Source organism: Homo sapiens, chromosome 7, assembly GCF_000001405.40.
Source record: "Homo sapiens chromosome 7, GRCh38.p14 Primary Assembly".
Classification (NCBI taxonomy): domain Eukaryota; kingdom Metazoa; phylum Chordata; class Mammalia; order Primates; family Hominidae; genus Homo; species Homo sapiens.
Genome location: NC_000007.14, coordinates 138,472,306 through 138,488,726, shown reverse-complemented (window position 1 = coordinate 138,488,726; position 16,421 = coordinate 138,472,306). Strand labels below are relative to the sequence as shown.

At 39.8% G+C, this 16,421-nt stretch overlaps 1 protein-coding gene and 1 non-coding gene across 4 annotated transcripts in view, besides 2 other annotated features; one reads left to right on the top strand and one right to left on the bottom strand.

The window, feature by feature from the left end:
• The window catches only part of TRIM24 (tripartite motif containing 24), a 129,738-nt gene that overhangs the window by 101,270 nt on the left and 12,047 nt on the right, over positions 1-16,421 (bottom strand). The gene's annotated exons all lie outside the window — the stretch shown is intronic.
• On the top strand, positions 6,144-6,247 carry LOC124901843 (small nucleolar RNA U13). Its single transcript, XR_007060678.1, has one exon. It is a non-coding gene; the product is annotated as a small nucleolar RNA U13 (small nucleolar RNA).
• Positions 8,561-9,121: an enhancer, noted in NCBI's record as "H3K4me1 hESC enhancer chr7:138164351-138164911 (GRCh37/hg19 assembly coordinates)". NCBI's record gives its function as "activates a minimal SCP1, AML or CMV promoter by ChIP-STARR-seq in primed H9 embryonic stem cells {active_cell/tissue: H9 hESC(primed)}" and the evidence as "EXISTENCE:reporter gene assay evidence [ECO:0000049][PMID:30033119]".
• Positions 9,122-9,682: an enhancer, noted in NCBI's record as "H3K4me1 hESC enhancer chr7:138163790-138164350 (GRCh37/hg19 assembly coordinates)". NCBI's record gives its function as "activates a minimal SCP1, AML or CMV promoter by ChIP-STARR-seq in primed H9 embryonic stem cells {active_cell/tissue: H9 hESC(primed)}" and the evidence as "EXISTENCE:reporter gene assay evidence [ECO:0000049][PMID:30033119]".

Sequence of the window (16,421 nt, the reverse complement as noted above, 5' to 3'; positions counted from 1 at the left end):
ATCACAACAAACTGTCTCACAGACCACTGTGCAATCAAATTAGAACTCAGGACTAAGAAACTCACTTAAAACCGCACAACTACATGAAAACTGAACAACCTGCTCCTAAATGATTACTGGGTACATAACAAAATGAAGGCAGAAATAAAGATGTTCTTTGAAACCAATGAGAACAAAGACACAACGTACCAGAATCTCTGGGACACATTTAAAGCAGTGTGAGGAGGGAAATTTATAGCACTAAATGCCCACAAGAGAAAGCAGGAAAGATCTAAAACTGACACCCTAACATTACAATTAAAGGAACTAGAGATGCAAGAGCAAACAAATTCAAAAGCTAGCAGAAGGCAAGAAATAACTAAGATCAGAGCAGAACTGAAGGAGATAGAGACACAAAAAACCCCTTCAAAAAATTCATGAATTCAGGAGCTGTTTTTTTTTTGAAAAGATCAACAAAATAGATAGAACACTACCAAGACTAATAAAGAAGAAAAAAGAGAAGAATCAAATAGATGCAATAAAAAATGACAAAGGGGATATCACCACCGATCCCACAGAAATACAAACTACCATCAGAGAATACTATTAACACCTCTACAGAAATAAGCTAGAAAATCTAGAAGAAATGGATAAATTCCTGGACACATACACACTCCCAAGACTAAACCAGGAAGAAGTTGAATCCCTGAATAGACCAATAACAGTCTCTGAAATTGAGGCAATAATTAAGAGCCTACCAACGAAAAAAAGTCCAGGACCAGACATATTCACAGCCAATTCTACCAGAGGTAGAAAGAGGAGCTGGTACCATTCCTTTTGAAACTATTCCAATCAACAGAAAAACAGGGAATCCTCCCTATCTCATTTTATGAGGCCAGCATCATAAATCTGCCAACCCTGGCAGAGACACAACAAAAAAAGAGAATTTTAGACCAATATCCCTGATGAACATCGATGTGAAAATTCTCAATAAAATACTGGCAAACCAAATCCGGCAGCATATCAAAAAGCTTATTCACCAAGATCAAGTGGGCTTCATCCCTGGGATGCAAGGCTGGCTCAACATATGCATATTGAGAAACGTAATCCATCACATAAACAGAACCAAAGACAAAAACTACATGATTATTTCAATAGATGCAGAAAAGGCCTTTGACAAAATTCAACAGCCCTTCATGCTAAAAACTCTCAATAAACTAGGTATTGGTGGAACGTATCTCAAAATAATAAGAGCTATTTATGACAAACCCACAGTCAATATCATACTGAATGGGCAAAAACTGACCTTTGAAAAATTCCCTTTGAAAATTGGCACAAGACAGGGATGCCCTCTCTCACCACTCCTGTTCAACATAGTGTTGGAAGTTCTGGCCAGGGCAATCAGGCAAGAGAAAGAAATAAAGGGTATTCAATTAGCAAAAGAGGAAGTCAAATTGTCCCTGTTTGCAGATGACATGATTGTATATTTAGAAAACCCCATTGTCTCAGTCCAAAATCTCCTTAAGCTGATAAGCAACTTCAGCAAAGTCTCAGGATACAAAATCAAGGTGCAAAAATCACAAGCATTCTTATACGCCAATAACAGACAAACAGAGAGCCAAATCATGAGTGAACTCCCATTCACAATTGCTTCAAAGAGAATAAAATACCTAGGAATCCAACTTACAAGGGATGTGAAGGACCTCTTCAAGGAGAACTACAAACCACTGCTCAACAAAATAAAAGAGGACACAAACAAATGGAAGAACATTCCAGGCTCATGGATAGGAAGAATCAATATTGTGAAATTGGCCATACTGCCCAAGGTAGTTTATAGATTCAATGCCATCCCCATCAAGTTACCAATGACTGTCTTCACAGAACTGGAAAAAAACTACTTTAAAGTTCATATGGAACCATAAAAGAGCCCGCATTGCCAAGACAATCCTAAGCAAAAAGAACAAAGCTGGAGGCATCATGCTACCTGACTTCAAAGTACACTACAAGGCTACAGTAACCAAAACAGCATGGTACTGGGACCAAAACAGAGATACAGACCAGTAGGACAGAATACAGGCCTCAGAAATAACATCAGACATCTATAACCATCTGATCTTCGACAAACCTGACAAAAACAAGAAATGGGGAAAGGATTCCCTATTTAATAAATGGTTTTGGGAACACTGGCTAGCCATATGTAGAAAGCTGAAACCGGATCCCTTCCTTACACCTTATACAAAAATTAATTCAAGATGGATTAAAGACTTAAATGTTAGACCTAAAACCATAAAAACCCTAGAAGAAAACCTAGGCAATACCATTCAGGACATAGGCATGGGCAAGGACTTCATGACTAAAACACCAAAAGCAATGGCAACAAAAGCCAAAATAGACAAATGGGATCTAATTAAACTAAAGAACTTCTGCACAGCAAAAGAAACTGCCATTAGAGTGAACAGGCAACCTACAGAATGGGAAAAAATTTTTGCAATTTACCTATCTGACAAAGGGCTAATATCCAGAATCTACAAAGAATGTAAATTTACAAGAAAAAAATCAAACAACCCCATCAAAAAGTGGGCAAAGAATATGAACAGACACTTTTCAAAAGAAAACATGTATGCAGCCAACGGACACATGAAAAATGCTCATCATCACTGGTCATCAGAGAAATACAAATCAAAACCACAATGAGATACCATCTCACACCAGTTAGAATGGCGATCATTAAAAAGTCAGGAAACAACAGGTGCTGGAGAGGATGTGGAGAAATAGGAACACTTTTACACTGTTGGTGGGAGTGTAAACTGGTTTAACCATTGTGGAAGACAGTGTGGCGATTCCTCAAGGATCTAGAACTAGAAATACCATTTGACCCAGTGATCCCATTACTGGGTATATACCCAAAGGATTATAAATCATGCTACTATAAAGACATGCACATGTATGTTTATTGTGGCACTACTGACAACAGGAGAGACTTGGAACCAACCCAAATGTCCATCAGTGATAGACTGGATTAAGAAAATGTGGCGCATATACACCATGGAATACTATGCAGCCATAAAAAAGGATGAGTTCATGTCCTTTGTAGGGACATGGATGAAGCTGGAAACCATCATTCTGAGCAAACAGAAAACCAAATGCTGCATGTTCTCACTCATAGGTGGGAACTGAACAATGAGAACACTTGGACACAGGGCAGAGAACATCACACACCAGGGACTGTCATGGGGTGAGGGGATGGGGGAGGCACAGCATTAAGAGAAATACCTAATGTAAATGATGAGTTAATGGGTGCAGCAAACCAACATGGCACATGCATATATATGTAACAAACCTGCACATTGTGCACATGTACCCTAGAACTTAAAGTATAATTAAAAAAAAAAAAAGTTCTTCTCAGGATGATGAAAAAGTTCTGGAAATAGCAGTGAAAGTTACAGAACACTATGAATGTACTTAATGCCACAGAATTATATACTTGAATATGATTAAAGTAGTAAATTTTATGTTATGTATATTTTACTACTGTAAAAAAAAGTACTCAAAACATTGACAAGGCATAGTAAAATATTCCCAAATAAAAGGAAATTAATAAAATGAAACAGAACGATTAATGTATTTTTTCAAAGAAACCAATAAAATTGAAAATCCATATTGAGGAAAGAGAAAGAAATAGGGAAGGCCTATAAAATCAGCACTGGGAATGAAAAAGAAAATTCATAACGTTAGATGACACAGAGAAAGAATTACCAAGAGGTTATTATCAACTACCTATATCAATAAAATTGAAAATTTATATAAAATGTATAAATTCCTAGAAAAAAAGAAACTGTCTACCATAGTATCTCAAGTAGAATAGAGTCCTATAGATAAACCTTTACGAAAACTGAATCCAGAGTTAAAATCTTCCCACAAAGAAAGGCCCAGTCCCTGACTGCTACCATATATTCAAGAAATACTTTAATTCCAAACTTACACAGGGATTGTAAGTATCATGAAATTCCTTCAGGGAAATTAAATCAGTAGCACTCTGTAATTCATTTTATGAAGTTCGCCTAACTCTACAAAAAAATTCATAAGGGCAGTATTACAAAGAAAAACCACAGGCCAAGGTAATTCATAAACATAAAAGTAATAAACAAAGTATTAGCAAACCAAATCCTACAGCATGTGAAAAGAATAATATGCCATCACAAAGTAGACTTCTGCCTAGGAAAGTTTATTTTACTATTAGAAAATCAATTCTTAGAACTCACCACCTAACAGATTAAAGGAACAATTATGCTTTCACTAGATACATAAGAAAAAGTATATTAAAAAAAAAAAAATCTAAGGCCAGGCGTGGTGGCTCATGCCTATAATCCCAGTACTTTGGGAGGCCTAGGTGGGTGGATCACCTGAGGGTAAGAGTTCCAGACCAGTCTGACCAACATGGTGAAACACCATCTCTACTAAAAATACAAAATTAGCCAGGCATGGTGGCACATGCCTGTAATCCCAGCTACTCAGGAGGTTGAGGCAGGAGAATAACTTGAACCCGGGAGGCGGAGGTTGAGGTGAGACAAGATCGCGCCATTGCACTCCAGCCTGGGCAACAAGAGCGAAACTCCGTCTCAAAAAAAAAAAAAATCTATTTATGATCAAAAAGATACACTCACAGACACACATGCCTCTGTGAATATTAGAAAATAAATGGGGAGGTATATGGCCTAGAATTGAGGTTCAATATTATGTACTGCCTTGATTCTGGTAAAACCGGGAGGACTTTGAACAGCCTAACCACAAGTTCTCCTCCCCACTCTACTTCCACAGAGAGGGTCCCTTAACCAAATACTCTTTATCAAAGCGACCAGGCACAATTTCTGCTTATGCTTAAATATTGAGTTTCAGTTCCTTGCCAACCTATATAATTATTCAAACAAGCCAATCTCATCCTCCTGTGGGAACCAGGGGCACCCCACTTTCATGATACTACATAAAAAGGCTACCTCCCACAGTCCCTGTTTGTTTACTCCGTCCCAAGTGCAACCATCATGTGGCCCTGCCTGGCAATGTAGTGTCCTCCCCAGGGCTATACAAGTCTATGTGACTAATAAACTGTTGTCAATTTCATCTGCCCAGTGTCAGTTGTTATGTATTGGGCCAACCTCATAATCCTATGGCAGGAATCCCTCCCTCACCAATGGGAATATCTATATGCTTATAAAAGATCTATATAAAATCCTACAGCAAACTTCCTATTTAATGGTGTAATGTTGAAGCTTCCTTTCTGAGATCAGGAACAAGATAAATTTCCACTGGCTTGACTTTTATTCAACAATGGAGAATTTAGGCAGCATGATAAAGCAAGAAAAAGAAAAGGCATAAAGATTGGAAATAATAAACACTGTCATTATTCACAGATGATATGATTAGATACAAGAGAAGCCAAACAAAGCTACAGAGAACTTACTAGAATTAGAAAGATTTAACAAAGTTATTGAAAAAAAAATTTTTTAACATTTGGGTCCAGGCACAGTGGCTAATGCCTAGGATCCCAGCACTTTGGGAGGCCAAGGCCAGAGGAGTGTAGGCATTTGAGGCCAGAGGAGTGTAGGGATTTGACACCAGCCTGGGCAACAAAGTGAGACCCCCCCCGCTACAAAAATGAGGAAAAATTAGCTGAGCATGGTGGTACATGCCTGTAGTCCCAGCTACTCGAGAGGATGAGGTGGGAAGATGACTTGAGCCCAGGAGGCTGAGGCTGCAGTGATCCCTGACTGTGCCACTGCACTCCAGCCTGGGTGACAGAAGGAGACTGTGGCTCAAAAAAACAAAAACAAATTAAGACATAAAACATATTTGGGCCAGGCACAGTGGCCAAAAGCTCTCAGCATTTTGAGAGGCCAAAGTGAGAGGATCACTTGAGTCCAGGAGTTCAAGACCCACCTGGGCAACATAGTGAGACACCATCACTACAAAAAATAATAAAAAGGAAAAAAAACCCCACACATTTGTATTTATATTTACCAGGAACAAAAAGGTAGAATGAAGTTAAAATGGAATATCATTTACAGTAGCATCATAACCTATCAAGTACCTAGAAAAACTTTAAGAGAAGACTTGCAAAATCTCAATGGGAATAATTATACTTAACGAGTCGGTAAAGAAAGCATAAGATCCTTTTGTGGTTCATAAGCATGATGATCAGGTTTTCAGGCATATGTGTACGATGTGCCTCCTTCAAACTTTGTTAGGATGCTACCACGCTACCCATCTGACTTAAAGGAAAAAAATTAAGAAGCATAATAATATTCTCCCCAAAGTGATTTTTTTTATCAATTTCTCATAATCCCAATAGCCTATCATGTTTTTTTGTGAAACCTGACAGGTGGATTCTTATGTGATAATTCAAATAGCTAAAAAACAATTAGAAGATGCTTCTGAAAAATAATTACAGGTATTGGTAAGGGGTTACATAAGGACTTGCTTTGCCAGCTGTCAAAAACTACTGTAAAGAGAATGTGGGCCAAGCAGTGGTTCATGCCTGTAATCCCAAGACCAAGACAGGAGGACAATTTGAGGTCAGGAGTACGAGACCAAATTGGGCAACATAGCAAGACCCTTTTTTCTAAAAGGAAAAAAAAGTGTGGCCCTGGTGCAGGTAGTAACAAATAGATCAACAGATTAAAACTGCCTGAGAAAGAGAAATCAGACGCTAAGGAAGAAACAGACTCACGCATACATAATTATAAGCACGGCGGTGTAGAGCACTGGGAAAAGAATGGTACTATTTTCCGCTAATGGGGCTTGGATAGCAGGTAGAAAGTGAAACTGGACTGCAACCTCACCATACACATAAATCAACTGCAGATGAAACGAAAACCCAAATGTGAAGGAAAAATTATAGAGCTTTTAAAATAAAATATTTTCTTTTTTCTTTTTTTTTGGAGACAGGGTCTTGCTCTGTTACTCAGGCTGGAGTGCTGTGGTATGATGAAGGCTCACTGCAGCCCTGGGTCCTCCTGGGTCCAAGCAATCTTCCCACATTAGCCTCTCAAGTAGTTGAGATCACAGGCTTGTGCCACCATGCCTGGCTCGTTTTGTTTGTTTGTTTGTTTGTATTGAGATAAGGTCTCCCTATGTTGCCCACACTAGTCTCAAACTCCTGGGCTCGAGTGATCCTCCCACAGTACTGGGATTACAGGTGTGAGCTACAGCGCCCAGCCCAGAAAGATTCTTAAAACGAGAGTACTTACCACAGAGATTCATAAAATTCAAAAATTCAAATTCAAAAAATAAAAGACCCTATAAAAAAGGCAAACAGAATGGAAGAAGATAGCGAGAATATAAAATAACTCCTATTAAAATTAAAATAGCCAGACACGGTGGCGCATACTTGTCATCCCAGATATTTGGGAGGCTGAGGCAGAAGGATTGCTTGAGCCCAGGAGTTTGAGACCAGCCTGGACAACACAACAAGATCAAGTCTCATAAAAAAAATAATAACTTGGGAGGCCAAGGCAGGTGAATCACTGAGCTCGGGAGTTTGAGACCAGCCCGACCAACATGGAGAAACCCCATCTCTACTAAAAATACAAAATTAGCCGGGCGTAGTGGCGCATGCCTGTAATCCCTACTACTCGGGAGGCTGAGGCAGGAGAATCGCTTGAACCTGGGGGTCAGAGGTTGCAGCAAGCTGAGATCACACCATTGCACTCCAGCCTGAGCAACAAGAGTGAAACTCTGTCTTAAAAAATAATAATAATAATAACTTTTTAAAAAATGAAAAAAAAAGTTTAAATAACCCAACAAAAAGAAAAAATAGGAGAGACTCAAACAAGTGCTTCACAATAGCTGAAATCTAAATGATGGATATGGAAAGTGCTCAACCTAACTGGTACTTAGGAAAAGCTTCTCAGATCCCAATAAGTTAACAGGAAACACCCACGAGGTTGCCAAAAAATAAAAAGATTGATAATACAAAATGTTAGTGAACATCTACATCTGAGCCAACAGGAACATACATGAACTGCTAGTGGGTATATGAGAGTTGGTAAGTTAACTTGAGCGTTCACCTTCTCTATGATCAGGAATTCTGCCTTACCGTATTTAAAAAAACAAAACAAAACAAAAAAACACCCACACACCAAAACCTCAGGACTCACATATACGAACAGCAGGATATATTAACAAGAATGTTAATAGCTTCATTGCTTTAAAAAGAGCAAAAAACAGGCAACATTTCCAATACACAGCAATAACAGAATGGAAAATTTAATTGTGGTATATTTGTGCAAAGTATTATATAGCATTAAAAATGAATAAACTATAGCTATATGCAACAACATGGATGATCCCTTCAATGTTAAATGAAGATAGGAAGAAATAAAATACACCAGCACCATTCCTTTCACACAAAGTCCCAAAACAGACAAAGCTAGGTTACAGCATTCACCATTACGTAAATGAAGGAATTGTTAACATAAAAGTGGGGCAGGCCAAGTGCAGTGCCTCACGCCTGTATTCCCAGAACTTTGGGAGACTGAGGTGGTAGGACTGCTTGACCTCAGGAGTTCAAGACCAGCCTAGGTAAAAGTGAGACCTCGTCACTACAAAAAAAAATTTAAAAACTTAATTCATGGCCCGGGTGCGGTGGCTTACACCTGTAATCCCAGCACTTTGGGAGGCTGAAGCTAGTGGATCACCTGAGTTCAGGAGTTTGAGACCAGCCTGGCCAACATGGCGAAACCCTGTCTCTACTAAAAACACAAAAATTAGCCGGAGGTGTTGGCGCATGTCTGTAATCCCAGCTGCTTGGAAGGCTGAGGTGGGAGAATCGCTTGAACCCGGGGGCAGAAGCTGCAGTGAGCTGAGCTCGCACCATTGCACTCCAGTCTGGGCAACAAGAGCAAAACTCTGTCTCAAAAAAAAATAAAATTAAAAAATAAAATAAATGCCGGGCGCAGTGGCACGCCTGTAATCCCAGCACTTTGGGAGGCCAAGGCAGGCAGATCACCTGAGATCGGGAGTTCGAGACCAGCCTGACCAACATGGAGAAACCCCATATCTACTAAAAAATACAAAATTAGCCAGGCGTCACATGCCTGTAATCCCAGCTACTTGGGAGGCTGAGGCAGGAGAATTGCTTGAACCCAGGAGGCAGAGATTGCGGTGAGCCAACATCCCGCCACTGCACTCCAGCCTGGGCAACAAGAGCAAAACTCCGTCTCATTCAGGCATGGTGACACACGCCCAGCTACTCAGGAGTCTACGGCTGGAGGATCATTTGAACCTGGCAGATAAAGGCTGCAGTGATCCCTGATTGCACCACTACACTCTGGCCTAGGTGACAGAGCAAGACCCTGTCAAAAAGAAGAAGAAGAAGAAAAAAAAAAGGTTGGACAAACGGTTAACTTCTAAGGGAAAGGGAAGGAGTGATAAAAATATAGCAGACAAGGAACTTTTGGGGTTACTGGCTATGTGTGTTTCTTGATCTAAGTGGTGGTTATATAATTATTCACTTAATATGTTAATTGTACATGTGTTTCCCTCACACTTTTTGAAAAGCTTAAGCATCCTAAGTTTTCAGTTCATGGTGGGGAGACCTCTTCAACAAAAATGAGAAGGCACCCTCAGAGGTAGGAAGGACAATTAGGAAGCAGCTGAAATGACCTCAGGAAATGAAGATAAAAAGAAGGCAACCGATTTCTGAGATGTAGAAAGGAGAATTGACAGAATTTGTTAAGGGAAGATTAAGCTTTTTTAAAAAGTCAAGGATGGAGCCTTAACTTTTAGTCTTCTTAATCCCTATTAAAATAATGAATTGGAAGGCCACTATGCTGAGATGGCCACAGCACCTTGGGTTCCTATTTAAGCAAAAAGAAACCAAACTCAAAGTGAACTTAAGCTTAACTAATCAGAAACCACCAACTAACCTCTAGTGACTTTATGAATCAGAAACTGCCAACTAGCCTCTAACTAGGTACTTTCTACTGTCTTGATGCCAAGAACACCTTATCAAAGTTTCCCTCTCCTGCCCCTTCTTTGGAGCACTGAGCCACTTGCTCAACTGATACTGCCCATTCATGAATCCCTGAGTTCTAAAATAAACAAAAACTAGCTGGGTGTGGTAGCATGCACCTGTTGTCCCAGCTACTCAAGAGGCTAAGGTAGGAGGATCACTTCAGCCCAGGGGATAAAGGCTGAAGTAAGCTGTGTTTGCACTACTGCACTCTAGCCTGGGCCGCAGAGTAAGATGCTGCCTCAAAAATAAATAAATAAATAAAAAGACAGGGTTTTTGCTATGCTGCTCAGGCTGGTCTTGAATTAGTCTCAAGCGATCCTCCTGCCTCAGCCTTCCAGAGTGCTGGGATTACAGGCATGAACCACTGTGCCCAAAACAAAATAATTTACCCTGACCTATAATATTAATCAATATACTTCTCAGTTTCCTTTAATTATACTAGTACATAAACCAATTTCTTTTTAAATTACAACATTCCAAGATTTATAAACCACAAGGCTTACCTGTCCAGCCTTACAGTGGAAAATGTAGGTAAGACCCCATCAAAAAATCTTTCCCTCCTTATCCTCCTGACATTTATTTCTATTAGTTTTCCAACAAATTTATAATTTTAGTTGGAAATCTGATAAATAAAACATGTTTATATATTATAAACATTTAATAATATTCACAACTGAGGTGCAGAGCATAGTACAGTATTTCCTTTCTCAAGCAATTTCATTCTCGAATTATCAATTGCCTGCATTTTAAAAATCTGCTTAGTTTTTAAGTATTTATCACTAAATCAGCAGCAAACTTTCCGACAGAACTGCAAACCCTTTTCAATATGTTCAAATATATCAGCTAATCAAACAGTTTTACATTTGTGCCCTCAAATGTATCCTTCTCTGAAATATGAAGTCCTTCATCCAGCTCCAAACCTTTTCAAGCCTGCTGCAAGCTGCCATCCTGGAGCTTTCCTTCATCATTATCCTGAGAATTTCTATGCCTAATGATATTACCACAAGTATCTGCTTGCTTTACCTCACATGAAACCTGAATAGTTTCAAAATACCAACATAACCACTAAAAACACACCACTGAATGCAATATAAGTTTTTTTGTGCTTACAATATAGCATACTAGGAATGCACAATCAATATTGTGATTTAAAAATCAGTTTCAAAAATCCTTTACTATGTAGGTAAAACTATCTGGTTGATACAGAACAACGTTCATTTGTTTTGTTTGCTGGGGAAGCAGGGAGAGTTACTTATATTTGTTCAGTTTCATAAAACATTTACATAGTTCCAAAGTCAATACTGTGAACCAGTTACATTTACAGAGGTCTAATTTTCTTCTCTAATTCCTTCCCAACTTTTTCTTGCCTCGCTAGCAGTCATTTTTAATTATTTATTCTTCTGTTGTTTGTTTTTTGAGGTGGAGTCTCTGTTTGTCTCCCAGGCTGGAGTGCAGTGGCCTGATCTCCGCTCACTGCAACCTCTGCCTCCTGGGTTCAAGCAGTTCTCCTGCCTCAGCCTCCCAAAGTGTGGGATTACAGGTGTGAGCCACCATGCCTGGCCTCCGTTGTTTATTTGTAAATATAAGCACATATTTTCTCTTTTTCTTATTGTCATGGAGATACTGTTGCTTTAGATCCTTTTAGTGGATAGAGCTAAGAAACACACACACACACAGAGACACAAAGGGTAGCATATAATACTCATTCTTCTGCACCTTGATTTCTACTTAACAGTACATCATGGAATTCACTCCACAGCAGTATTCATATCTTTTTCATTCCTTTTTTACATCGGCACAGTAATATACCATAGTTTATTCCACCAGTCATTTATTGGTGGTCATATCAATCTTTTATTATTATCAACAGTGCTACAGACAAATAACACTGTGCACGCCTCACTTTATTATTTTGCATTTGTATCTCTGAGATACATTCCTAGAAGTGGAGATTGCCAGGTCAATGAGGAAATGCATTTGCATTTTACTAGATATTACCAAATTCCCTTCCAGTTTTAGCATTCTGCATTCCCACCGGCAATATAATGGATTATCTTCCTTTCCTCAGTTTCACCCAAAAAGTATAATGTCAAAGTATAATGCTGTACCTATTTTGGGGGAATTTCTTTTTTTTTTTTTTTTTGAGACGGAGCCTCGCTCTGTCGCCCAGGCTGGAGTGCAGTGGCATGATCTCAGCTCACTGCAACCTCCGCCTCCCAGGTTCAAGCATTTCTCCTGCCTCAGCCTCCTGAGTAACTGGGATTACAGGCGCACGCCACCATGCCCGGCTAATTTTTGTATTTTTAGTAGAGACAGGATTTCACCATGTTGGTCAGGCTGGTCTCGGACTCCTGACCTCATGATCCACCCACCTTGGCCTCCCAAAGTGCTGGGATTACAGGCGTGAGCCACCACGCCCGGCCTGGGAGAAATTTTTAAGAGTTTTCTTTGTACCTCAATAATCATCTTTCATGAGCATCCCATGCGCATTTACAAAAATGTATATTCTCTTATATGCAATAGATGACCCTAAGATCTACCTTTCAGTTGTGTTAATCTAGGTCCTCAATAGCCTTACTGAAGTTTTTGTCCAGTTGATCTATCTTGAACTGAGATGGATTTTAGGTCTTCTATTATTAATATGCTCCTAACTCTTAATGACTCTCCTGAAGCTTCTTTTTTTTAAATGAAAGCTGTCATGAATATCCATGCACCCAATAACGTATCTTCATTACAGACTGCAGCTTGTAGCATTATTTATAATGTGTCCTACCTCTTTAATGATTTCTGGCCTGAGTTTTACCTTGCGCAAAATAACTATAATAACCCCTTTTTATTATATTTGTCTGGCATATCTTTGCCCAACCTCCTAATCTTTGAGTTTTTCGATTTTGCAGATGTATCTTTTATATAAAAGACAGAGTTGGGCTAGGCACAGTGGCTCACGCCTGTAATTCCAACACTTTGGGATGCTGAGGTGGGTGGATCACTGAGGCCAGGTGTTCGAGACCAGCTTGGCCAACATGGCAAAACGTCATCTCTACCAAGAATACCAAAATTAGCTGGGTATGGTGCATCGCTCCTGTAGTCCCAGCTGCTTGGGAGGCTGAGGCAGGAGAATTGCCTGAACCCTGGAGGTTGCAGTGAGATCACACCACTGCACTATAGCCAGGGCGAGAGAGCAAGACTCAGACTCAAAACAGCAACGAAAGAAAACAAAACCACAGAGTTGGATTTTGCTATGTTAACCCAAAAATATTTTTTCTCTTAATAGGCCAGTTAAGCCCATTTACTAATATCACTATATGGTCTCAATTCTGTCACAGTGAGAATATATAATTTCATTGTATTTGTTTCTTTTGCTCTCCTTTCTGTACCCTTCCCACCACCTCCTTCCCCCTGCCAATACTTCTTTTGCTATCTAGAAAGGTTTGGGCTTTTGTCCTAATGGTTATCTTTATATAATATCCTTAAGTCCTCTCTTTGTTAGATACTATCTTTTGATTCCCTAGTATAAGCAACATAGAAATTAGCTCCATTCTTCCCCCCTCACCATTCCCATACCACAACACACAGCATCTATTTAAAGTAGTAATATCTCTTGATGCCCTGGTTAAGTTTTATAAAACAATCAATCAATGAGCCTATTAAACCATTTCTTGGCTGTCTGAAACTTAATTCTCTAACAGCTTCCTCAGGAAGTATTCACATAAATGATATCCCTTATACTCTTGAATAACTGTATTATACCTACATTGTTAGGGTGCATAACAAGTATATACTACTTTGTCACCCCTTTTCTCTGTCACTAAATTTAGTTCTACAGTTAGACACAAGGATTTCCTGCAGAACATCTTCCCTATTGTTTTCCTGACATAAGATCTCTTGGCTTTAATACAGACTCAACAGCATGATATTAGTGTAAAGATAAACAAAAAGACCAATGGAACAGAAGAGAGTCCAGAAATAAACACAGACATGCACGGACAACTGATTTTTGACAATGACAATGCAGTGGAGAAAGGACAGTCCTCTAACAACAATGCTAGAAAAACTGCATATCCATGTATAAAATGAACTTGGATCCATATCTCATACCACATACCAACATTAACTCAAAATGGATCATAGACCTAAATGTAAACCTCAAAACTATGGGACTTCCAAGAAGAAAACAGGATAAAATACCTGTGTTAGACAAAGATTTCTTAAATATGGCACAAAAGAATAATCCATAAAAGATAAACTGGATTTCACCAAAATAAGGAATTGGGGCTCCTTGGAGAGCTGGCATAGAAAAAGTACAAGATAGGCCGGGCGCGGTGGCTCACACCTGTAATCCCAGCACTTTGGGAGGCTGAGGCGGGTAGATCACGAGGTCAGGAGATAGAGACCATCCTGGCTAACATGGTGAAACCCCGTCTCTACTAAAAATACAAAAAATTAGCTGGGCGCAGTAGCGGACGCCTGTAGTCCCAGCTACTTGGGAGGCTGAGGCAGGAGAATGGCGTGAACCCGGGAGGCAGAGTTTGCAGTGAGCTGAGATAGCGCCACTGCACTCCAGCCTGGGTGATACAGCAAGACTCCGTCTCAAAAAAAAAAAAAAAGAAAAAGTACAAGATAAATCTAGAAATTCTTATTTTGCCAGGAAATAAAAAAGTGCTCAACTGGGTGCCATGGCTCATGCCTGTAATCCTAGCACTTTGGGAGGCCAAGGCAGGAGGATCACTTGAGCTCAGAAGTCCAAGACCAGACTGAGCAATGTAGGGAGATCCCGTCTCTACAATAAAAATAAAAATTAGCCAGGTATGGTGGTAGATTCCTGTGGTGCCAGCTACTTGGGAGGCTGAGGTGGGAGGATGGCTCAGGCCTGGAAGGTTAAGGCTGTAGTGAGCCATGACTGTCAACTTTAAGAGGTTTCTATTGTCCAAATTTGGGCAATTTGATTGTCAAAAGAAGTAAAGAAAGGAATGGCTATAACATACTGACTAAAATATTTCATAAGTCCATGATAGATAAATGGAAAAGAAAATGGTTATCCATACAGCAGACTATCAACTAGTAAGCATACAGTGATAGAAAAACCATTTTGTACTATCACAGTAATAGCTGATAAAGGCAAGAAATCAGTGGATGCCAATCTAAGTTTTTTTGGAACAGAATATTCACACAGACTCCAAAGTATCTCCTAAAAGGTTATTTGTTAATTACAAAAGGAGAGGAGGAGATAGCTTTAGAGTGGAGAAATCTGGCAGTCACCACCTTAAACAAGTGATCAAGGCCAACACTAACAACGGGACAGAAAGACAATCATGTGTTTCTTAATGTAAGGCATTGAAAAAGACAAATCACTGTTGCCCAAAATGATGCATCAGTCTGCATACAGTAAGTAGAGAGAAACCACACATTAATTTGAAATGAAGTTTAACTTAAGGAATTATTATTATCATTTTTTTGAGACAGAGTCTCGTTCTGTCACCCAGGCTGGAGTGCAGTGGCATGATCTAGGCTAACTGCAGCCTCCGCCTCCTGGGTTCAAGCAATTCTCCTGCCTCAGCCTCCCGAGTAGCTGGAACTACAGGCACATGCCACCACGCCTGGTTAATTTTTGTAATTTTAGTAGAGACAGGGTTTCACCATGTTGGCCAGACTGGTCTCGAACTCCTGACCTCAGGTAACCCGCCTGCCTCAGCCTCCCAAAGTGTTGGGATTACAGGCATGAGCCAACGCACCCAGCCAACATAAGGAATTATTAACCATCGTAAGGGATTGAATGGGAGGCCAAGGCAGGAGAACTGCTTGAGTCCAGGAGTTCAACCTGACTAACAAAGTGAGACCCTGTTTCTATTTAAAAAAAAAATTTTTTTAAGAGCTTGTGTCAGAATGTAAACCAACCAAGATCATTTAGTTCAGCTGACATTTAGTTCAGCTGGATGAAGGAAGCAGTACACTGGTCAACATTCTGTGGCAATGTCCTTATCTTGTTTCAGACCCTAATAGTTCGCAGCTCATGCCTTGAGTAGCACTGCCCTAAAATACCCTGCTTCAAAAAGGCACTAGATAGCACTATAAGAAGACAGATAGGTATCGTTGTTAATTCATGGTCTTTAGCACCAAACAAGCCTCAACACAACCTGCACTAACACTACATTTTATTGGTCAACTTCAAAACTCCCTTCTCAACCTTGTTCCACTCCTGTTACCCTCTCATTCTCAGCAGACGACCTCACTTTCTATTTAAGGGAGAAATCAGTGGGGGGCTCAGAATACAGAAATTCCACCCATTTTGAGGACACACACACCTGTATTTAGCACCTATTCTTACCTTCTCTCCTATTCACAAGAGAAAGTGTGTCTCCTATCCAAAGTCACCAATCTCTACCCATGCCTCAGATCAATGCCTTTCTGCTTTCTCAGAAGCCTCACCAAA